At 32.0% G+C, this 25,641-nt stretch overlaps 1 protein-coding gene across 13 annotated transcripts in view; it reads left to right on the top strand.

Annotated features, from left to right (window-relative positions):
* EPHA5 (EPH receptor A5) overlaps positions 1-25,257 on the top strand; it is a 350,923-nt gene extending 325,666 nt beyond the window's left edge. For 11 of the 13 annotated variants that reach the window (NM_001437320.1, NM_001437321.1, NM_001437313.1 and 8 more), the window contains 3 exons: positions 8,699-8,892; positions 12,696-12,851; positions 20,605-25,257. In NM_001437320.1, the coding sequence (NP_001424249.1) occupies positions 8,699-8,892; positions 12,696-12,851; positions 20,605-20,710 (456 nt within the window). In that variant the 3' untranslated portion in view covers positions 20,711-25,257. Of the gene's footprint in view, positions 1-8,698; positions 8,893-12,695; positions 14,267-20,604 lie in introns of those variants that run through there. The other 2 variants (XM_017007881.3, NM_001281767.3) reach the window with 1 other exon arrangement.
* Positions 25,258-25,641: the final 384 nt, after the last annotated feature.

Here is a 25,641-nt window from a genome sequence, read left to right as displayed (position 1 = left end):
TTACTCTGGATTGATCTTGATCTTAGTCTAGACTAAGACCAGACCCATTTACTACTTTCTATTCTTCAGATAAATGCCAAATGTTAACAGGCCCTGCAGAACACTGCGTGGTTTCATTTCTAACTTATCTAAACCTCATTGCAATGCCATTCTTCCCTTTAATTTTTGTGAAAGTATTTTAATCCATCCTGGCAGCGAGCCTTGATATACTGGTTTCTACCACGTGTCTACTTCACTCAAGGGAAACATTCATCCCTTATTTGCCTGGTTAACTTCTATTCACACTTGAGATATTTTGAATTCTGATCCTGTCACTCAGAATTATTAGTTTTTCCCAGCTGTGCAGCAGATCATCCACGTTATAAGGAATGATGCCTAATACAGTTGTATCTGTCACAGACACAATTATACACCAGTGCAAACACTGGTGCTAGGTGAATGTTCATAACTGCTCATCTTGACTAGGCTTTCTTATGTTCCTGAGGGCCAGTGGGTCTGTATTAGTATGCCTTGGCTCTCCTCCACAAGTCTCTTATTTTCCTCCTGAGACCAGCAGCTAGCCCAAACGTGATCTCATTTGCAAAATGGCTGAAGAGTAAGAAGGAGCCCAATTACATCTCAGCCTGCAACATGTCTGCTAAAATCTCATTGGCCAATCCCATAATCAAAGTGCTGAGTCAATGACACTACTCTTTGTGGATGGGCACTACAAAGTTGCATAGATAAGTGAATAAAAGTTCATTTATCTAATGCTTAATCACTTCTTTAACATTATAGTATCATCTATTTTTACTCTCATAGTACTTTCTTTGTGATTTTTATTTTTCCTTGTGCCTTTAATTTTATTTTCCTGATTTCAGCTATTTGAGTGTCTTGATACTCTTTCAGATAACTGTATTTCAAATTACTTAGAAAAACACTAGAAATTGCTTATGTAACCTTTCAGGAAGTTTAAAGAAAAAAAAAACACTAATATTTTGGCTTTTACTTGGTTTTCTAAGAATTTAAATGAGGTTTACAGAAAATGATCATACAATTAAAGATCATTCTAAAATATCTGTCTATAATACAATGTCCAATGCATGCATTGTTACTTTCTCAATTAGTTCATAAGTGGCATTTTAGTTTTCAGATACAGCATTAAATTTCCTATGCCTTAATTTCTGTCCAAATTTTGTATCCAAGAAACATGACAAATCAACTATATTTAATGATTTCAATCACTAAATATTTCTTTGGAGAAAAATTCTCAGAAAACAAAGTAGAAGTGCTGATTTGGCAATTTCAAATGATATATTCCATAATCTCTACATTCCAGATGCTATCTGATTCTTAAAGGGCTTTGCCACCATGAAAATGTTACGTTACCAAGGCATGCAGGATAATCTAAATCTCACAGAGGAGATCTTCCTCTGTGTCAGGAGGACAAAATGCAGCAGTAGGAGTCCTGGGATTTAGGATTGCCTCTTCCATCAGGAAGAAAACCTGTAATGACAATAATGAAAATAAACTAGAACAACTAAGGAGATTTTAGGTAAATACCAGACCATGAACTCTGATTCAAGCTCAGAAGCTAAGATAATATCATGTAGTCAGTAGAAGCCTATTTATTGATAGTAAACACTTTAAATGTCAACAGTTTTCAGAAGCTAAAATAAAAACTAAAGATTTCATTTTGTTGTATTTTTATTTTTAGTGACAAGGTCTTTCTCTTATATTTATTGCAGAGTATATGACTGTATAGATTCTACTAAGTACATAGATTGCACAATATTTTGAAAACTAATTTAAGTAGCCTGTTTTTTAATCTTCTTATATTGGAAGGATTTTTGCCTTTTTTGGTTTTAGGAAGTCAGATTCTGTGCTTTCTTTTTCTGGCCAGTTTTAATCCAGTCGTTTTATTACTACTTCTGTTGGCCCAGATCTTACTTGTAAAGCAGAAAGACTATTTGACTCCAGAAAAGATCAACTAGCTTTGTACTGGGTGTGCCTCTCTTCCTCCTTCTATTCCTTGTTTCATTTCTGATGTGCCAGATATACATATATACATACATCAGCAGTATAAATTATATGTGTATGTATATTGCTCATATACATATTCCTTTTATGTTTATGTATATTGCTTATATGTTTATGTATATTGTATATGTTGATGTATATACATAAACATATATTCCTTATATGTTTATGTATATTGCTCATATACATATAATTTATACTGCTGATATATGTATATATGTATATCTGGCACATCAGATATACATACATATACATATGTATACATATTCCTTATATGTTTATGTATATTGCTTATATTATAGACATATTTCTTGCTAAAATAAAGAGTCAGTATGTTGTAATTAACTAAAGAAGGGGTATGAGGAATTTAGTTCTCATCCAAATGCTGCAAATTACTAAGATTTGACAGTAAGCGAATTATTTGACTCCTTAGCCTCATTGCTATGTAATCTAAAATGAGTGTCTTTGACCAAAGAATATTCATCTTTTAAGGATAATGCCGCCCTTGGATGTAAGTAATTATTTTAGGAACTAGTAGCCTCATGAAAATTCTTATGCTTTTGAAAAAAATGACACATAAAAAATTATCAGTTCTTCAGCTCAAGATTTCTGTACCTGGATGTTTAACAACAACAACAACAAAACAAAAATCTTGGACTTAAACCAGTCATCTTGGATTCTACAACTCTTGGTCAGTTTCAATGATTATAAAGGGAATAGGCTTCAACAGAAGATTTCTAAGATCTCTTTAATCTCTGGAAGTCTACTGATCTAAGATTGATGCACTAAGAAAAAAACATAATATATCTTTAATAACTATCTTAGAATAAAAACGGATATATCTTAGAATCTTAGAATAAAACTGATATATCTGAAACTATTTCTATGTCATCTGGGTTTGCTTCCAGAAATATATTCATAAACTCTAGTCATTTGTAGGGAGCTTCATATCTCATAGTAACAGCTCCTATATGTGAGATTTCAAGTAAATGCCTAGCAACATAGGTACTCAAGCCCTAGATAGAACTTAATTCATGGAAACACACAGCTGATGCTTGAATTCCTATAATCTTCCTAATCTTCCTGCCACTCAGTTTTCAAGCCTACATTTTCACATCTCCTGTGATGAAGAATGCACTATCTTCCAAAATAGCTCATTGTAATTCTGGAGAGAGAGATATATAACATATATACATATACACACACAATAATTTATATAAATATAATATATATAATATGTAAATATCTATTTATTTATGGTGCAAATAAATATGATTCTATAGGGTGGCATTCATATGTATATTTATTTATGATGCAAATAAATATGATTCTATGGGGTGACATTCATATCTCTCTCAAATTATTTTATTTGGTGTGTGTTGAAGTGTAGCGATGATGATTTCTAATTTCAATGGTGTGACTCAGCACCAAGATGGAAAGACCACAGGTTTTCATGACAAAAATACTTAATTTGTGAATCCTGCCACCCCCACTTCCTAGCTGGGCAATTTCTTAAACCTTCTGATTATTTGGAACCTGAGGTGTTTCATATGTGAAATGTGTATAATAATTTTTATCTTGTAGATTTGTAATATGGATGAATTTAGATAATTAAAAACAGCCTGCATGGCTATGACTGACATAATCCATAGGCTAATCTAGGCCCTCCAGCCCTCCAAGAAACCTATGTCAACAGGAAATAATTAGATATTGAGGAAAATTTTTCTAAGAAAAATTGAGGAGGGATGAAGGGAAGCCGGGATAGATGTCAGACTGTGACACAGGTATGTCCCTAGGTACAGTAGAGATGGAAGGAAGGAAGGATGATTGGTTGCAAGCTATGGAGTAGAAATGCCGTTCTAAAGGAGTCTTATTATCCTTGCCATACTCCATAATTGCCTGGAAGCAACGTGCATAAAGTAAGCTTTATGCAGGTGCACATGTGATGAAGGGCTTTACAGCACAGCAGCTAGTGTTGTTGGCCAATTACTATCTCTGCAGTTGAAGAGCCTAGAGACAAATGTTTATGATTGACATGCTCTATTCTCTTGCCATGACACACTTACTTCGCATAGGTTCAGAAAACATCTGTTTCATGGTTCTGTGGGCACTTCCTCCTAAGAAAGAATTCAGAAAAGGCAGGTTACTAAATGAACTGCAGCCTGTAGCTATAGTTGATCATAGGATGTCACCTGGTCCTTATCCTCCCCCTCCTCCACTATCCACTCTGAATCCCCCTCACTATGATCTTGGCAGGTCATGGTAGCTTAACTGGTGGTCTGATCTAATTCCTCATTCTTGGGGTTTCACACATATTTCTCCCTGCCCCCACTGTGAGAAAGAAGTCCAACTGCTTCCTGCTGCTCTGTATCAGTTATCCTTGCCATTATGGTGACTTCTTTTCTGCTGATCTCTTTGCATGAGTAATTCATAACTGTTAGTTCAATGGAGCTTTGCTGTGTTTTCTGGCAAGAGTCACTGGGAATGGAGCACAACACAGAAGTCTCTGACTATATATATATCGCAACATGAAGAATAACACCCATACTTTCAGAATCTTATCTCCATGTTGGTGCTTCAGCTGTGTCTTGTTGCTTCTGGATAATGAACTATGTGTGCTGGTGTGCCCCAACAAGCTTGTACCAGCTAGCATATTTTTAGAATATTTCTACTTGAATGAGACCATGTTAGTAGCTTACAATTGGCATAGAGAGAGTATTTATACCATGTCACGATACAATATTACAAATTTGTCCTCCCCCAGGGAGAGTGAGTTGTTACAAATTTATCAGCACTTCATGAAGTACAAAAGTTCTTGAAATAACATAATTTTGTTCAACAGCACTTTGTTATAACGTTGATAAGAAAAACAAATATATCAACTCACAGCCAGGGCCACTGTCTGTGTGGACCATGCGGGTTCTCCCCATGTCTGTGTGGGTTTCCTTCCATATACAATGCCCTTTAGATTAATTGGTGTGTCTACATGGTCCCAGTCCAAGTGAGTGTGGCATGAGTGTGAGTGTGTCCTGCAAAGGGATGGTGTCCTGGCCAAGGTTGTTTCCCACCTTGTGCCCTGAGCTGCTGGGATAGGCTCCAGCCACCTGCAGCCCTAAAATGGAATAAGCAAATAAGCAATTATCTTACCTGTTTTTGTCACTTTTTCTTAAATGTATGTATAGCTCACATTTATTTCAGTGTTTAATAATAGAGGTGTTTTGGGTCATTATTAGAAGTTTAGTTATGTTTTTGTGACCAGAAATATGCCCTAAGAGCTTAACTCTTGTTTATTTATATCAACAAAGTTATAGTTAAATTGGTTTCATTATACTTTGTTTCACTGAAAGTCACAGTTTCCAGAACGTATCCATGATATTAAGTGAGGACTTAACTATTTGTGATAGTTAAGTCCCCATACATTCTTTACTGCAAAAGGCATACTCTGGATGGGTGATATACTATGTGGAATTCTGTGTTTGTGAATAAAGCCTTTCAAAACTCCTATTGCTGGCTGAGGGTCTGTGGGTGGGAAAAGCAACCATACCCACAACAGGTATATACACCTAAAAATGCTAACCCAATGACACTTATGTGATAGAAGGAGCCCAGAGAGCCACCCTGCCATCAAATGAATAATACTATATAGGGGGCTAAGTTATGTTTTTAGGAATTGGAAAGAGAGGCAGTATTGTGTTCAGACTATCAGTTTACATGCCAATGCCAAGAAAATGCATAGCATATTATACTATTTCAGATATAGCACATCTGAACTGGTGCCAGCTTGCCTGTAAAAATTCTCATTCTAATTGTCTTTTCTTTACTTTGTTCATCTCAGCCACCTGTATCAACAAATCTAATAGTAATGAGAAAGTCCATCGAGATTATAACTCATTTGGTTATATGTTACAAGTTGCATGGGAAAATGAACACCTAAATTGCACTTTGGTCATTTTTGGTAGATTTCCATCATTTTACAACCTACCAGAGTAGTAATGCTATCTATTTCCCCCAAAACTATTATAAAGAATCATTAGAAATGGAAAAAAAAGGAAACTTCTAATATAAAATGTGAAGTTATAGTTCCAAATCTATTTTTAAAATAAATTCTAACAATTAATTTAGAATTAAATTTCATGACCTAATTACCTGGACCCAGTTCTAAGTTGATATAGAGACAGAGCACTGTATTTCTAAGTATAAATTTACCCGAAAATAAGACCGAATAAGAAATAAATTCTAGAAATATCTTCACAGGTCAAATAACTTCTTAAGGTGTTTAAGGTAAACATCTGTATTGTTGTGCTTAGTGGAGGAAGGATTATTGAAAAAAAAAGGGTGCTAAAGAAAAAAATCGAATTAATTGGTAGCAGCTTTGGAGAAAGGGCAAATTATGAAATAAACCATGTTTTGAATAAATAAGAATTACTATTCTCACTGTATAGCAAATATATTACATGACTTAAGCCATTTATATTAGGATGCTTTATTTTGATACCTATATGCTGTTAAAGGGAATAAAAACTGTCCTTATTATCAGCCATGGAAAATCTTATAATCAGCAAACCAATAAATAAACTTCTATCGATCTATGTGTGCAAATGATAATTTTTAAAAATATTTCTTTATTTGATCATTAGTGAGAATAAATATTTTTTCAAGGCTTGTTTAGCATTGTTATTTCTTTCTTAAATTATTGGCTAGTATGTTTCTCATGTATCTGTTGTTTTATTATTTTATTTCTCAATATGTATAAATTTTAATAAGTTATGTTAATTATATGTTATAATTACTGAAAACATTTTCTCCTGGAGTTTGCCTTATAATTACTATATTGTTTTTGAGGTAAATTAATTAAGGTAGTAGGCTGCTCTTAGGACTTTTGCTCAAAGTTATTGAATTTATCTGACCATTTAATTTTGGAGTCCTTGAGTACTTTTTATTTCTCTGCTTGCACTTAGCTTTTGGTATTTCTAATAATTTTTATTATATGCTTTTCCAGGGGGGATATAAACTACATCAGCTGTGGCCAAGTGCTGATGACCCTTACCTTTATATTATCAGTCCAGCTATCTCCTATGCTCTAGCCAGATTCCTGCAAATTGCCATCTGGGTATTCTCTACTCACTTCAAATAAAAGAAGTCCCAAATTATATCTGACAACATTTTCTACCCTCAGAAATGTGCTTGCCTAAAGTTAACAGAAATTACCATCAAATGTGATAGGCTTGAATTTGCTTGGTTTTAACTACTTTAAAAGTACCGTTTAATCTTCTTTCCATCTGCCCCTGCACTGGGTCAGGTGCCATTTTATTTATCATAAGGAGAATGCTTTCTTTCCAATGCTTAAAAATTGTCTTTGAAAAAAAATAAGTTTATGGAAGTAGAAGGGTAGATAGAATGTGGCTATCAGAGGCCAGGAAGAGGAAGGGGAAGGGAGGAGGGGGAGATGCTGGTTAAGGGATACGAAATTACAGCGAAGTAGAAGGAATGAATTCTTGTGTTCTGCAGCACTGCGGGGTTAATATGCTTACCAATAACTTCTTGTATATTTTCAACAAGCTAGTAGAGAGGACTTTGAATATTCACAACACAGGTAATAAATGTTTGAGGTAATGGGTATGCTCATTGCCCTGATTTGATCATTATATATTTTATACCTGTGTTGAAAGATCATTCTGTATTCCATAAATATGTACAATTATTATGTGCCAGCAGAAAAAGAAAAAAAAATTAAAATTATCTTTGTAAATTTCCTATGCTAATCATTTTTTCCATTTATCAAATCAATTCTGAATTCTTTGTGAAAAAGTATAATTAAGACTAATTGTTAAAGAAATATGCAAAATAAGATATTGAGAAATATGTTCATTAATATTTGTTTTAGTATCACTCAAATATTTGAATTTTAATAATAAAATAAACCTGTATTGCTGTGTTTGGTAGCATAAACAAATTTCTTCTTAAGTTAGGTATTTTGATGTGGGCAGCAACATTACAAATGGTTTTGATAAAATGACCTCACAATTAGGCTGATACTCATATGTGTGGTTACATTTAAAATCAAGGATATTTATAATTCTTGTGCTACTAGACAGTCATTCCAGATTCCTGACAGAAATCAGCAGATGATAATAAACAGTCAGACCTTGACATTATTAAATGATACATGAGACAGTTATGCTAATTTAGCCTTTGACTTATCCATCATTTACCATCGAAAAGTCTCTTTTGAAGTAAAATTACAGTTCTATTACTTTAAAAATGTGGCTGTGCACATAGTTTTTCATTAAAAAGACATTAACTTTTCAGAAAAATCACTAGAAAATTTAATCTCTATTTGATTCTGGAGTGCAAGGATAAATAAAACATGAACTGTATATTTTATGTCAATTAATTTTACAAATCACCCTTCACCAAGATTTTAAGAAAAAATGATTACCATTTATTTTATTTATAATACGTGAAGAAAGCCTATCTTTTTATATTATGATAGTATATTTATTTTATGTTGTATTTTGCAGCAAATGGAAATAGCCGTGGATTTTAAAGACAGTAATGCTAGTTGTTATTGCAAGAGTAAGGATAAGAAAGGATAAAAGTTGGACAGTGGGACATTTTTAAAGCTATTCTATACTAAATTTGTGGTGTTGGGGTGCTGGTTCTGTTTTGCTTTATACAGGTGATTAAAGCGGTAGAGGAAGGCTATCGTCTGCCAAGCCCCATGGATTGTCCTGCTGCTCTCTATCAGTTAATGCTGGATTGCTGGCAGAAAGAGCGAAATAGCAGGCCCAAGTTTGATGAAATAGTCAACATGTTGGACAAGCTGATACGTAACCCAAGTAGTCTGAAGACGCTGGTTAATGCATCCTGCAGGTACAAGGCCAGATCCGAGTGATTTTCCAGAATGTAGCTAACTCAGATTGATGTCACAAATATTTTATCAATTAAATCATTCTCGTATAGACATTAATCTGTGAATCTATATGACACTAATTTATTTGGATATAGTTTTTGCATGCTACTCTCTTACAATGAATGAAATATGTGACTAAATGATACTTAAAATCACCTATACCTAATCTAATAGTGTGACATGCCAGGTTTCAGAAAAATGAACTATAGCCACATTCAGGTAGCATAAAAAAAAATTAAATGTGTGTATTTTCATGCATTTTGGAGGATAGGTGAGGAGGAGGAATGTAAGATTATAACATAAGAAAAAGCCAATTAAGCACTGATGCATTTTAAACCAGAGATATCTAGCAATAATTACTCTTTGATTTATTTAGAATACATTTTAGTATTCATATTTTAGAAACATTGACAATTTTAGGGACCCTTTTGCTCTTATCCAGTTGCACACAGATTTTTGGTTATTTAGCATGTAGTTTGAATGAGATTTAAAACTGATAAATGAGTAATCTTGTGGAGAAAATTTGTGGGAGTAAATGAGCATATTTTTTACTTTTCTGAATAGCACATGAATGCATTTAAATAATGTTTCATATTTGTAAAGCATGCCTTTCTGTTTTTCTGAAAAACAGAATTATCTTCTCAAAAAATAAATCAGTTTGATTCTGCACTAGAAAATTTACCAGATTGTTATTTTCACTATGTTTGAGGCAGTTGTCTATTTTTACAAGAAAGTGTTATGTTAATAACTAAATTGGCTGCCTATTAGCATGGACTAAATGAGAAACAATTTGTTAATAAAGTTATGAAAGTTCTATGATTCTGACATAACATTTGTTTACTAGATGGAAAGTCATTTTAAATACAAATGAGGAATGAATCTTCAAACTCTGTTCAAGCATCATTAACTTCCTGTGGTAGCAAATGGAGAACGTATCTTCTTAGCAATTATTCCTTATGTTGTTCCCTAAATATCTGCTTTTAAATTGCTTATTGTCATGTAAAATATTAAGACTTTCTCTTATCTACTTATTTGAATTATATTACATTGTCACAAATGGACGTACAAAAGGAGTAAAAAAAAACTTATGTTCTAAATTATATTAATTTATATAGGCATCATTATTACAGCTTGAGAGCATTTAAAAATTTCTAAATAATTTTCTTATTTCATTGTATGCAGTATATAGGATTCAGCTTTCTAGGTTTCGTTTAAACAAATTTTGCTTTAAGACCGACTGTACCACTCACTACCTTTCCTTTATTCAGTCATGTGCATATCCTGACTCTAGAAATTGTTAGTTCCTGGTCCATTGTCTCGCCCTTTCTCCATCCCTACCTATGTCACAAGAGTTGATGACTTCAATAACCATGTAGATGATATTCCAGTATCTCTAAATATCTTGAATTTTTCTCCTTCAATGATTTTATTCTCAAATCGACCTTGTGCTTTCCTTTCCATGCTTATATTCTAGACCTTGCTATTATCAAAATTGCAATTCTTTCATAACTTCAACTTCAAGATCTTACTCTCCAACTGTTTCTTTCTGCAATTCTCTTTCTCACAATTCATGCCTAATGGCTAAAAATCACTATAACATATTCATTTATTCATCCAACATCTATTCACCTTTATACTCTGGGTCATGCTGTGGGCTAGGTGCTGAGGATACAGCATTAAGCAAATAGACCTAAGTATTTGCCTTTATGAAGCCAATGCACTGTTGGGAGAGAGACACTGAACAAAATAAAAACTTCAAAACCAATTGTGTGTTTGGTTTTGGAGTGGGGAGTGAGAGTTGAATTCAAGATGAATACTAGAAGGTTAGATTGTGCAGGCGAGACATGATGATATCTTGAAATAAGGTGGTATTAATATTGAATGGGAGAGAAGTGGTCGGCTGTACAATATATTGGAAGTTGAATAGATGGTATGCACAATGATAGGTTTTGAGAAAAATGAGGACAGGGAAGAGGTGGACTGTTGCATCATACTATATAATGGGCAGAACTTCAAGAGCACACGGATGTGGAGATGAGGAGTGTGGTCTTGGACCTGGGGCCGTATTTCTCTGAGAAATATGGAGGTACAAAATAGGCATATGGATATAGAAGAATCTTAGTCTGGAAACAAAAATTTTTAAAAAGTAGATACTTTTTAAAGATATGAAAATGAGTAAAATTGTCTATAGTGGAGTTATAGCCTAAATAGAAAAATATAGGGCCAAGTCCTGGCTCCCTTAGAGTTTTAAAGTCAGGAAAAAAAAAAAAAAAAAAAAGACTAGCAGGCAAAGGAGATTGAGGGGAATCCAGCACACACACACACACACACACACACACACACACACACACAGACACACACTCTCACACGCACACGCACACAATTGTGATTTAAACAATGTTCAGACAGAGTAAGATTTCAAGAGTAAGGTGGGAGGTGGTAGTGGTGTTGGCTGAATGTTTCCAAGAGGTCAGTCATTTTGTAGTTTGAAAAGTGCTCACAGATTTTGGCAAAAGAGAGATCATTGACCATCTCAACTAGAGTAATTTTTATAAAATTGGTTTTGAAGAAACTATACTCAAGGGTAAATGGAATGTGAGAAAGTAGAGAGAACCTGAGTAGAGAGAAAGGTATTTGTGTCCTTTTTCTTATAGTTGCAATTTACTTAAGTAAATTTCACATGTAAATTATGTAAATTTACATAATGGGCATGTAAATTATTTTTAATATTTAGTTTCCTTTTGCCATTTTTTTCTGATTATTCCCTTAAGATACATTTCTAAAAGTCATCATCATCATTATATCATTATTATTATTGTCCAAAGAATATGAACGTAGTGTCATTAAAAGTGTCTATTGATTTAGTTGATTCTATTAAGTTTTGTTTTGTATTTGGGGTTACATTTTGTTTTTCATGATCTACCACTCCTCGGTGTATTAAGAAACACTCTATGTAAAAGTGTAAAATAAAGAATAAATAGTTTCTTAACTTCCAGATAAATTTACTTAAATGAGCATAAGTTCCTCTAGGAAGTCGATAAGTTCCTCTAGGAAAAATCGATTGGCTTTGCACAAATTATCCCACATAGCTATAGTGGGTAGCATTTTTCTTACCTTCATAAACAAAGAGTAGTATATCTAAATCACTACATGACAAATTTTAGTAGACTGATTTTTAGAGAAATATTATGTTTACAGCAAAATTGAGTGGAAGGTGCAGAGATCTCCCAAGTACTCCTTACCCTACACATATGTAGCCTTCCCCCACCCCCCACCACCCCATTACCAGCATCAACCGCCAGAATGACACATTTATTACCGTTGATGAACCTGTATTTCTATCAGCCACGGCCCATAGTTTACATTAGAGTTCACTGTTGGTTGTGTACATTTTACAGATTTGGACAAATGTGTCCACCATTATACTATTATACAGAGTGGTTTTATTGTCCTAAAAATTCTGTGTTCATCTATTAGTACTCAATAAAATTTTTAGCTATTGTTTTGTTTTACATAAAATTTACTTATTAGTAAGTCTTCATGTTAAGTCCTCATTAATTATGGATAAAATAATCTCAGTAGACTGATTTTGTGTTCTCCTGTATTTTAAATTATTTTCTTCCATATTAGCATTTGCATATTTTTCCTCTATAAATATACTTACAGACTCAAAGATCCATTGAATATGAGTTAACATTATAGTAAACTTTGTTATAAAAGAATTAAATTGTAACTTTTAATATTTATGTTTTATGTGTTTTAGAGTATCTAATTTATTGGCAGAACATAGCCCACTAGGATCTGGGGCCTACAGATCAGTAGGTGAATGGCTAGAGGCAATCAAGATGGGCCGGTATACAGAGATTTTCATGGAAAATGGATACAGTTCAATGGACGCTGTGGCTCAGGTGACCTTGGAGTGAGTAATTTTTCTGATAATTTTTACATAATTGCTGGGGCAAGAAAAATTGTTCAAAAACCAATCTGGATGAGGTAAGGGAAATCAGTTAACCTTTGCGGATGTGTGGCAGCTCTCAAAGAAGCCTCATCATCTTTAGCCTGTATTGTTAACAACTGCATGGTTAATGCTACATGTGGCCAGTATCTTTGCTTCTTTGCTTCAAACAAATAACATTGGCATACTTGAATAATTGGAATAACAGCTCCTTGGCAAAATACTGGTGTTTTGTGTTGTGGAAAAGATGTTTTCTTGACAAGTTTTTTTATACTGGTATCTATGTTATATGAATGTAAATACAAAACAAAATAAACTGTAAGCACAATTGGTGTGGCTAGTCCTACATAAGGACCAAACATATTTGTACATTTTGGCTCTCTACGATGAATATCAAGGTAACAGTAGCTTAAACAAAGCTTCCCTGGCAGGATCTCATTTAATTTCTAAATGGTGCACCTTACATTCTTTCAATCTAAGGATGTATCAGATCCCGCCTCTGATTTGTTATTTGGTACAATCTCAGTGGAACCAATTGTGCCCTTTTCTGTTTGCACGTTTAAGATAAAATTTATCAAACCTTATTAAATAAAAATCACTAGAGTTAAATATTAAGTTCTTTAAGGTTGTAAGTTGTTTGTATTTTATTATATACTCTGTACATGTGGTTGTTTTAGCCTAATTGTTATTTGTGAAAATTAACTGTCTTTATGGTGGTTCCATCTAGATTACATTAACATTAATGTTTTAACCTGTGAATATAATGATAACTTACTTCAAATTACCTGCCAATTCAAAGGTTAAAATATTGTAAGGTTTAGAAAATGGTAGAATATTCTGAAGCACTAAACCATAGTTGTTATTTTATTTGTACACATGATATGAACATTGAGCAGTTCTTGCTCACCCATCTCTATTATTCTGACATTCTTTGATTCATTGAATTCATTGTTCCTCCCCACAGAAGGTAACAGGGTACCACCATTTATCACCAATTAATGTCACATTCTCAGCATTCTCTTCCTTCATACCGATAACTAAAAGGACCTGAAACCAACCACTCAGCTTGCTTTCTAAATTTACTGAATCTCATTCTCACGGTCCACCAGATCATATCTACTTGATAACACATATGCTTTGTCCATTATTTCTTTGGACACTCAAGGAACCCATTTGTGCTATATTTAAACTGGTATACTGAAAAATTTACTGATAATTTAAAACTATTTTTACATGATTGCTATTTAATTTTTCAGTAAAAATGGTCATTTTAATTTATTAAAGTCATTTGTCATTTTATATTAAAATGATATTGTAGGTATTTCTTCTACCCAATGTCAGATTACTTGTAAATATATAATAAAATTATTTGCATTAAACAATGTCTCTTTTGTTATTAAAATAGCACATTTTCTGTATATAGTTACATCTACTACATTTTTGCTTCTTCCTTCAAAAAATAGTTATAATTACAAATTATAGTTTTTGCATTAGCTACTTGTGTTTTACTTATATCTTTGGGGTCCCAAAATACTATAAATATGTTGAATATTTTAGCATTATAGTTTCACATTTTTCTTATTCCTTTTTTTTCTATTTCTTTCCTATCTGCTCCTCTATCCCCAAATGCTCTTTAGTTTTTGTTTTCTTTCAAGCCCTAATAACCTCTTATGTCTTCTCATAATGATTCTTCTCCAGCTTATGGCCTCTTGCTAGATTGCCTTTATTCAAACATTTGTCTTTTAATTCATTTACTCTGACCAGAAGAGTAAAGTTACATTGGGAGACTTACCAGCATTTTCCCATTCAGAAAGTATTGGTCTGTCTATAGTAACTGCTCCAAATTCCTGGGGGTCATAATCATTAATACATTTCTTACCAGTAATTGGGCCAGCAGATCATAACTCCAAGAAAGCTGGTTTTTGGGGCAACTCCAGGCCCTTTAAATTTAACTACATGCCACTTTGTTTTCTGTGCTTTCGACTACATTTTTTTCAACTGTAAGAACATTTATCAAAACATTATGTTAAGTAACTCAAGTAATCAGTTACTTTCTTGGTCAAAAAAATTTTTTTAAAAGTTCATCTGTTCATTTTGCCTACTCTTCTTCCAAAAAAAAAAAAAAAAGTCAGTCATTGCTAAGGACTAATGGCAAAGGAGACGGGATTATCAGCAAAAGAAATAGGCCAGCTCTCAAAATACCTTGATACTGATTTTTCACGCATAGTCTTTACCCCATACCTAAGTATTAATTTTATGAAGGCTGTATAATAAAATAATAAAATATAATTCTTAGAGTTATTGTCAGAAGATAGTAGAAGCTGAGAATGGAAGAATACATTCATAACTGTTGTAAATACTTAGGAAAAATGTGAAAATCAATTAATATAAAGCGAATAGTCCAACTGCCATATTTAAAAACTACATTGTAATTTGTGGCATCAAATTTGTTTTCATAGTGGGTTTAGAAAAAAAGAATAAATATAAAATTTTCAGAATGACATATTTTGGTTAAAAATCTCCATCACAAAGGTTTAACTTCACTTGTATATGGATTGTTGCCAGTACGTGCATGTATAGCTAAATATTGAAAGGTAATGAAGAACTTAGAGGTCTGAGAGTCAAAGCATATTCATGAAAGTGGCTTTCAATCTTAGATGTGTTTGTCTGCTACTGTTTGTGCCTAAACCTTTCTATTCTGTGTTCAGTATTTATATGAAAACAATTGTGGCAGTAATGGTGCAAACTATCTCATCTTGTATAAGTGCAGTGGGTTATTGTCAACAGGGATAATTGTGAGCTTGAGGTGAGTTGAAAATTGAATCCAAACATTTCAGTTAAGGACAGAATCACAGCTACTTTTTAAACTTATTTTCGTATCAGTACTGTCAGCCTTTGGTTATTCAGAAAATGAGCAAAATCCAATCAATTTAAATATTATACCAATTGTGTGTCAGCTGAAGAGGTTCCTGTTATCATCAGTTACTGGAATAGAATCTTAAACTAATAAAATGAAAGTTTTCAAAATCCAGAGGCAAAATCTTTACAGATTAATTGAAATAGATTTATTAACTTATCAATAAATCATTATGCATGATTTATTATACCCTTAAAGTACACATAGGAGTACCTACAGTCCTCTGTGTTCTAGCCCTGACAACATCTCTTCCATTGAGAACCATTAACAGACCATGGTTAAATCTCTTCTTGCCAAAAGTAATACATTTATCCTGTACAATGTCTATATCATTGATTGTTAGGGTTCTGCAAAGTTAACAAAAAAAAAAATGACAAACATACAACTGCATGATAAAACTCTGACAAAAGCAATAAATATTGAAGTTTGGGGAATATTCATTAATCTGTCTTCTCCCTTCTCCTATCCAGCCAATGTTGGTTGGGGCTAAGTACCAGTGATACGGCTAAAAGGTGTGTAAAGTAGAAGGGAGAAGAATGAGGAAGAGAATGAATCATCTGTAGATAGATTAATTTAAGCCTGAATAATTAAGAGTTGGTTCCAACATCAACTATATACTTTTTATTACTCTATTTTCATTCTGCCATTTTAGCATCATTAATATCAGTGTTTTTCCATTGTTTAATATTATTGAATAATGTTTGAAAAAATACTGAAATGTAAACCCAACAATGACAGTTCATAACATTTGAAGCTTTTCTAAAAGTAGTCAATTTTGTCAACAAAATCCAAACTATGTTTATGTAACAATGCTAGTCTCGTCATGTTTAGATTCATAGGCCTATATCAAAATATAATTCGTTATCACTAGAATTGACCTTCGGTATTACTTAAGATTATGCATGATCATGATAAAATTTGTGTCATACTTATAATGGGAACATACTTAAGACATTGTGTAGCTATAAAATTTTCTACTTAGAAAAATGAAATTAAAAAATGCATACCTTGTACCATTTCCAAATTATTTTTCAAAAATTATTGTACATAGGGCAGCAATATCATTCTTATATTTTATTTTCATCAAATTTATGTAATTACTGCTAAGATGACCATTTAATATGTGGTTTAGGTAGTAAAATGGGAATTATTGGAAATAAGAAATGTGAGACTAAACTACTTAGAAGAAAATACCTTAAAATGTTTAGTAATATTTGAACAGTTATTTAACCTTTACTATAAACATTTTCTAATACTGTGTTAATTCTCATCTGTAGTGTTATTAAAAAATATTAAGATGCATTTCAAAAGAAACTACTTAGTTGCTGAGAACAATTTTAACTTGCATAAATCATCTTATTTATCCATGTTTTCACTGAAAATCACATGTATAAAGGTACATGTACGTTGCATGCATTATTATAGTTATCCTATCTTCTAAATCTCTTCACCTTAATTTGACAGTTTTTGAAATGATAGGTCAGATTTAAAGAAAAACAACAGAATTTCATGGGAGAAAACATCATTTGTGGCAGTACTTAAAATTCAGTGTTTTGTTTCTGTAATTCCATTTCTCCGCTGGGGAGATGGGTTTAGGATGAGATGGAAAGGCAAGAGAGAAGTAAAAGGAAGAGGAGAAAGATAATTTCACTGGTGTGCCCTTTGACATTCATCTCAAGGGATAATCAGATAATAAATTGTTCTTGAAATAAAATTTTATCCCTAGTTCACTGTTAAAATTCAAACAAATTTAACTTAAAATCTGTAAGTATGAAATGTTCTGACAAAGTACAGATTTCATTTTTCAATAAACTCAAACAATACCCACATTTATTAATCAAATAAAATTTCTCACAATTCTTTAGTATGATATAGTTATCATGAAAAATTTAAACTACCGAAACATTGAGGGAGCTAGAGTCTTTCATGTTCTCAAGTCATATCTAGAAGATTAAATTATATTTTTCTCTAATATAACAAGTTAAGACAGTAGAAATAAAAATAAGTTATTAGTGATTTGATATCCTTTAGACAAAACCAAGATTTGGAATATGGAACCCATACATGCTTCAAATTTAAGTTTTGTGATTGTATAAATTCCATGTTTGAAAGAGAACTTATAAATTCTTTCAGGTCATTCAAAATAAATAATAATGGTTATTTTCAAAGGCTCATTCCTAATAATTCCTAATAATTCACATAGCAATCATGAATTATGCAATTTAAGCATATATATTATTACAACCATATTTCCCAATCTGGATTCATCAGTATTTCTTATGGGTTTATAAAACATATGATAAAACACATGTTTTAAAACTTTGTTTCTAGTCCTAATTAAATTATCCAGCAGAGACAGTTTTCAGTTTAGGAAAAATTTTCATCCTTTTTCTCTTGGCTGTGATCCAGTTTGCTAGTGAACACCCATGAATATGCACATCTACATAATTCTTTATAATTAATAATTTACATGTGGAAACACGAGAATATTAGTGCATAACAGAAACTACTATGGTCAGATTTGGTGACCATAGCCTCAGGCAAAGTATGTGTTTCATTCCCTTCATTAGACATTTTCTTTTAGAATTTTGGACATTTTAAATTACATTTACAGGATTCTCATTTTATAGATGAATAAATTACTGCATATAATTTGAAGTGCTTTACTTAAAATCATCTCTTAGAATAATGATAAATTAAAAGTATAGACTTGGTTTTCAGGTACCTGATATTAGCCCTAACTTGGTTACCCATTTGGCTGTGTTTTATAGCTAAGTAATTCAAATTATCTAAGCCTTTGTTTCCTCATCCATAAAAGGAAATTTAAAAATCTGTATCATAGGGTTATTGATATTTCTAGCATACAGGATGTATGTCTATTAAATGTCACCAATTTATATGTGTCTAAATTGGTGTGTAAATATGTTTATAAAGTGTCACCAATTTATATGTGTGAATATATATATACATATATATACATATATATATGAGATATATATATATATGAGATATATATATCTCAATGATTCTCAACCAGGAGAGATTTTGTCACTAAGGGGAAATTGACAATGACAATTTATCTTGTAAAAATGAAGGGCTGGTGGTGCTGCAGTGCTTCTGGTATATAGTGGGCAGAGGCCAAGGATGCAGCCGAATATTCTACGATGCATAAGACAGCACCTCTACAACAAAGAATTATCCAGCCAAAGAATTATCCAGCCTATAATGTTAACAGGTTCAAGGCTGAGAAACTCTGGTTTAGTTGAAAAGAGACAAGATTAGACTCATGTCTCTTATATTCCTCGTTTGGTCTGTAATTAGCTAGCTTGTAGTCTATTCCATTATTAATAATAATGATTTTGTTTCAAAGCTAATTTTACTAATTTTAAGTTTCCCTGAGGATTGTCTTCCATGCTCTCTCTACCGCTATTATTATTTTTATATTCCAATCTGGTGCCTTTTAGTTGTAGTAATTTTTAAGCTTACTGTTTAATATTCACATTCTAAAAAACAAATATGTTTCCATCACAAATATCAATAGCATTTTTTTGGGGGGGTAGCTGCTTGCCATTTCCTAAAACTGTCATAAGAAATCAAGAAACCATAAAGGGAAAAGAAAACTAAAATACTATTTTGGAAAAAAATATTTCCAATACGAATATACACAGAGCCTTAGCATCCTTTAATTTCTATTCTCTGATAATTAAGAGTTTCTTTGAATTCAAAGAACAATTAAAACTATTCAGTTTCTACCTGTGATTATTCTAATGTCTAATGTCATTAATTCAATAGAACTCTAAGAAAATCTTGAATTAAAACACACACTGAATGGAAAAAGATTCCACTTTTCACATAATGTGTTCAATAAGGTAATTACCTTGAGAAATCTAACATGGCAAACATCTTTGTCATTTAGGATTTTGAATTGTTCATGTTTATTTTTTCCTATAATTAATGCTTATCATTTGCCAAACATATCTGACAAATACATACTTTAGGGGAATAGCATTCCTAAACATCCTGTAAAAGAACGTTGAAAAACCATGGCCACTTGTCTTGAGCTCCATAATATGTTGTTAGTTTAGAAATCTAAATATTTGTAAATTTATTTTGAATAATAAGCATGTTGAAAAAAATGCACAGAAGTATCTTGATTGAAAAGTGTTCTGAAAGCATGTAATATTCAGCATGCTCTAAGTGCCAGTAGAGCTTGGATGTTATTTGATTAAAAAAAAATTCTGGTACTTTCAGTATAAAGTAAAAAAAAAAAAAAAAAAGTAAAACATTGTTATAAAAGCAATGTAGTGGTGATTATCTCCTAAAGATATCTGTTATATAAAATTACTGTATAGAATGAGTCATTTTATGACTTTGGTTTTCAACTGCTTAGCTATAAAATATTAAAAGTCTATTTCAAGCTTCTTTTAGCAAAAATAAGTGCTTATGAATATTGTAAATCTGCAGTTTCAAAACTTTTCAATGAAATTGTACCTGTTAACTCTTTATTGGTAATAATGTGCAAATTTGTTTTATCACCACTCTGCACCACTAAAATAGTGATGTCCACAAATGAGAGCAAATATGTATTATATCATTCCTCATTATAAATATTTTTTGACTACTAACAGATTTTGGAGGTATAATTTTAGAGCCTAACCTTTAAAAACTAGACTCTGTATGTCTAAATTAGGACTGTAATCTAACTAGTGTCTGCACTATGTTTGCCCCTTTGCCAACATGAAATATTGAGGTGTGCTACAAATTGAATCAATACATCCAATGTGTGCTTTCTTCATGCAGGGATTTGAGACGGCTTGGAGTGACTCTTGTCGGTCACCAGAAGAAGATCATGAACAGCCTTCAAGAAATGAAGGTGCAGCTGGTAAACGGAATGGTGCCATTGTAACTTCATGTAAATGTCGCTTCTTCAAGTGAATGATTCTGCACTTTGTAAACAGCACTGAGATTTATTTTAACAAAAAAAGGGGGAAAAGGGAAAACAGTGATTTCTAAACCTTAGAAAACATTTGCCTCAGCCACAGAATTTGTAATCATGGTTTTACTGAAGTATCCAGTTCTTAGTCCTTAGTCTTCATTTTTCATGAAGCAAACATATCTTGCATTAAAAGGGACATGAAGTTAGACATCATCTTAAGTTACAACAACAGAATCCTTCCCACTACTTCTACAAAATTTTGTACATGAAATATATAATTATATAGCACTTTTATAGACTGAATTAAGGCAACCCCTTTCAAAACTTCCAGGGATCTACTTGAAAGGAAATGTTTTATAGCCATTTGTGAGCTAACAAAAGCTACAGTTTACTGAAGTTTACTTCAAGTCTTAATTGTCTACAAAAGTGTATTGAAGAGCAATATGATTAGATTATTTCTTAATAGATATCTTCTTTTGTAATTTTAAAATGCTGTTACACAGCGTTAAGTTATAGAAACTAGTGTGTAAACATGTTGCTTGATCAAGAAAAAGTACAATACAGGGTGTATATTTATTTTTTGTGTTATAAAGTTTACTTTTAGTTGCTCTTCTAGAGATTATTAGGTAATAAATGTGTATATACTGTATAATTTGCAATATACCCAGGAACTGATTTAAGATGGAATTGTGTGTGTGTTTGCTTGCACATGTGTGTGTTACCATTCTGCTTGCATTTCTAATAGTGTTTCAATTTTAGCAACATATAGGAGCAAGTGTTCCAGAATGTAATATGAATAGGAGAAATAGGGAAGCAGTAAAACAAAATTTAACACAAGCTTGTGTCTCTTTTCCTCTCATGTGTCCAAAAGCTAATCTCTTTATTCACTAAAAGGAAATGTGTATAAGACTAAATCCCCTTTGGCTTTTTAAAAACATTTTGTGATATCAGTGACAATGCAGTTCTTCTAGCCATTAATCTTGTACCCCTGTAAGAAATTTCACCTTTCTGAGTCCTGAAAAGTATCTTGTCAAGCAAAGTTGACACCGAAGGGCACATTTTCAGCAGGATGTAGAAGGATTTAACTGTGCAGGCTTCTGTTAATGTTGTTAAATCCAGGCACATAGCACGAAGCATCACCCTTAAGTGTTAATCCGTTGTAACCATTCCCATTTTGACTCAGTTCTAGAAATTTTGACTCTAAGGCAGCAATGGAATTATGACAAATATATATATATACACATACACACACACAAATATATATATATGCTTATTTCCCTTCAGAATTTTATTTCAATAATTGATAAGTTTTATTTTTAATGGATGTTTATTCATTTGTTAATTTCAGTTTGTATTCAGTTACATGGCTTTGAGTTTATTTTATTGAACCAATCCAAGGTATTATGTAATTAGGCTTATTAAGGAATATAACATATCTTCTATGTATGCTCTATATACCACACATGATGAAGACTTATATTTGTGATACAAATTATGCAGTGTATTAGAAATTGTCCAAAACTGAGCTCCTGAGATAACCAACATTTTTGTATTATTACACTTTATAAAAATTATGGAATGTCATGTGATTAGTCAAAATCAGAGCATTTAAATAAAATACAGCCTACTCATGATTATCAATGTTAATAGTACAGTAGATCAGAGAAGCCTGGATTAATGAAATTTATCAGAAATATAGCCACGTTATATTAATGGTATTCTTTTTTCCAAGCACTTGTTTTATTTGAATATTAGCACATATAAGAATAAACTTTTGGGAAATAACTACTTCCTATTCTGCCCACCCTTTACTTAAGCAGTAAAGTACCTCTTTTCTAAAGAACCAGGAAACATCAAAATAACCACAACAAAAATCTAAACAGTTTTCAAATAATACATTCAGTTCTCATAATAATAAGGGCTATATACCATGGGTCCACACAAACTGTGCTGCAAACATATAATCTATTAGTTTAGTAAAATTTCCAGAGATGTGAATTTAATATTTTCTTGATAAAATCATAAAAAAGCATCACCATTATTAAAGATGCATTTGTTCATTTCAATAAACAGAAATTAATGAAACAAATTACTTTTGTACAAAATAAATGATGATTATGTGGCACTTTATTGAATTTTATAGAAATATTCCAATCTAAGTGATAAAGTAACAACTGAGAAACTTCAGAATGAAAGCCTTATTGATTCAAAAGGAAAATTACCATATGCTTTAGGGCTGATGAACTTGCCACAATTGCTTAGACATAACAAAGATATTTTCTACATTGTTTTCCAACTTTATATGCTGAAAGATAATTAGGAGGTCCGGGTGGAGTGTATCTAAATGACTAGAACTTTAAGTTGCAATATAGATTTTCTCTTTTTAACAAAGGAAGAATATAAATTAATTTGGATCAAATTTATTTGCCTTCTTTGCAATCTTGGTGATCATTTTGGAAAGTAAATTGAAAGGAAAGTTAAATAGCCACATAGTTTTCTTTTGCATCTCAATTTGGTTGAGAATTTCTAAGGAAGGTTAATATGACTTTAGAATGAATAAAGAGACTGTCAAACAACAAGTACTCTCCCTAAAAAAGAGGAAAGAATGCCTTCCTAAAATATTTGTTTCCTATTGTATATGTCACCAATTGGAAAATGCCAATCTCATCTGCAAGTGTGAGAAATGGAACAAGGAGAGGAGCCAACTCTAGTAAAATGTAGTGAGGCCATAATCCAAGGCAAAGTTTAACAAATCTTGATTGTGTAATTTCTTATTCTGTTGATTCATTTTGTCACCCACCAGACTACCAAAAATAAAGCACAGACATGACAATTTTAGTATATACAACAGATTTGGCAAATAATACATAATCTTATTGTAATTGCCAGTAGCAATATCTTAAGGGGCATGAGTCTTTCACAGTATTGGACTTTGAAAAATTGGTACAGGGAGTAATTTTCAACAGACTGATACTTGAAGTCACTCAATTACTACTTTGACCTATCATAATTTGTTTCTAATCTTGTCATTTGCTCATATATACTATTAATATAACCAGTTGCTCTTTTCATAATGTACTATTTCTATGTAAAGATGTAAAGATTTTGATTTTCCTATGTTTTAAAATTGTAATGTGCATGATCTTTTATTTCTTGTGTTTCAATTACCAAGTCAGTATTCTAAGGTTGTAAGATTACTGTAAAAATTATATTCCAATATTTTATCTAAACTTAAGTGTGGCCAGCATTATTGGTTTCAGAGTTGCCTAAACAACACAGAATATCCTTAATTCAGTTTGTAAAAGAGTTTTGACCAGTGTAAAAAAGTGAAGACACAGTTTCATGTTTCAAGTTTAAAATGGAAAGTTAATATCATTTGAGCACTTATGTGTTTTCATGTCTTCTACTTAATCTGTATGTGAAAGTAAAATATTTTTAACACCATTATTTATGCCATGTAAAGTGGGTTCTCAGAAGCACAAGCACAGATATTTACCTTCTGAAGACATTTTTGGCTATAAAAGTGCATTGGATGGCAAACACTATTTGAGTCAGGTGTTAGAAATTTATTAGATGTATTATATTACATAGTAGAATAAGGTCCCTTTCTCATTTTGTTTTTCCTAAAAATAAGAAAAAAAAGAAGTGTGATAGTAAACTGTCTTTGCTAATGTCCTGCCAGATGTTTAACTTCAAATTAAGCAAAAAGTAGGTACAATATGATGATGATCCTGATGATGATGATGATGATGATGATGAAGAATAAATGGAATCAAAATGCTAGCTTTATTTGACATTAATAAGTAAAATAAGTCATCATTTTTTCAACTCTGTAGCACAGCTGTTTACATTGAATAATTTTCTCTATTGTGCTGTTAATTATATAGTAATGTATCAAAATAGAAATAGGAACTTTCTTTTCATTTCTTATTCATTTATGAAGAAATCTTTTCACACATAAATGATTGAATGTTCTTGTTCAGAATGACCACATAATCATTGCTTAGAAGAAGATACCAATTCTTTTAAAAGAAAAAAAGTCTGTTTATAATAATCAGAATCAAATGTTGTTTGTTTCTTCTAAACGTTAATGGAGAAAATTGAAGGTGGTAAAATGTCATGTTTATTCAGGCTGGGAACTGTATTCACAGTAGAAGTTTCAGTGGTCAACATATCTATGACTCTTTAGGCTGCTGTAGTTTTACAGTCAATTATTTAAAAGTGAGTAGTTACATTTATAAGAGCCTGAGAATACTTAGACTCAGTCATTTGTTAGTATTTTTACCAAAATCTCTTAGTTTCAGACATGTCAGAAGCAGCTATATAGCATATCTTATTCTATGATATACATCAGGCTATCTCAAGTTCCTGTCTCACAGTTAATTCAAAGAAGGATTAGGATTTCTGTATTTTTTCTCATTTGAATCTTTATGTGCATTTGGTTTGTGTACATGCTTTTTGTAGTGTAAGATATGAAATTTTATATTTTTTCAGAAAATAAAAACCCTTTGAATACAGTTACATCTGATTGTCATGCTTGACCCTCTCTGGAAAGTTTAAACTTATAGCCTTTGTGTAATGTTTTCAGTTACTTCTAATAACAATGTTTCAACTTCTTATGCTAAATATTTTACAGGCCATTAGCATCCATTTTCTTCTAAAACAGATTCATGAGCCTGCATTTAAATAATTTTTGCATATGGAGATTAACACTAAAATTGTAGCACAGGTGCATTACTGTGTCAAAATCTAATTAGAAGTTGATTTGTGACAGTGTAATATATTATTTGGAAAAAACAGAAAACTATGCACACTATCTGGAAAAAGAAAAGAGACTTTTATTGATCAGCATCAGCCCAAGACTATCTCCTCTCCATACATGTGCTTACGGCATAGAGCGG

This window comes from Homo sapiens, chromosome 4 (genome assembly GCF_000001405.40).
Source record: "Homo sapiens chromosome 4, GRCh38.p14 Primary Assembly".
NCBI lineage: Eukaryota > Metazoa > Chordata > Mammalia > Primates > Hominidae > Homo > Homo sapiens.
Note: the sequence above shows the minus strand (reverse complement) of the source record. Positions and strands in the feature narration are given on the sequence as shown.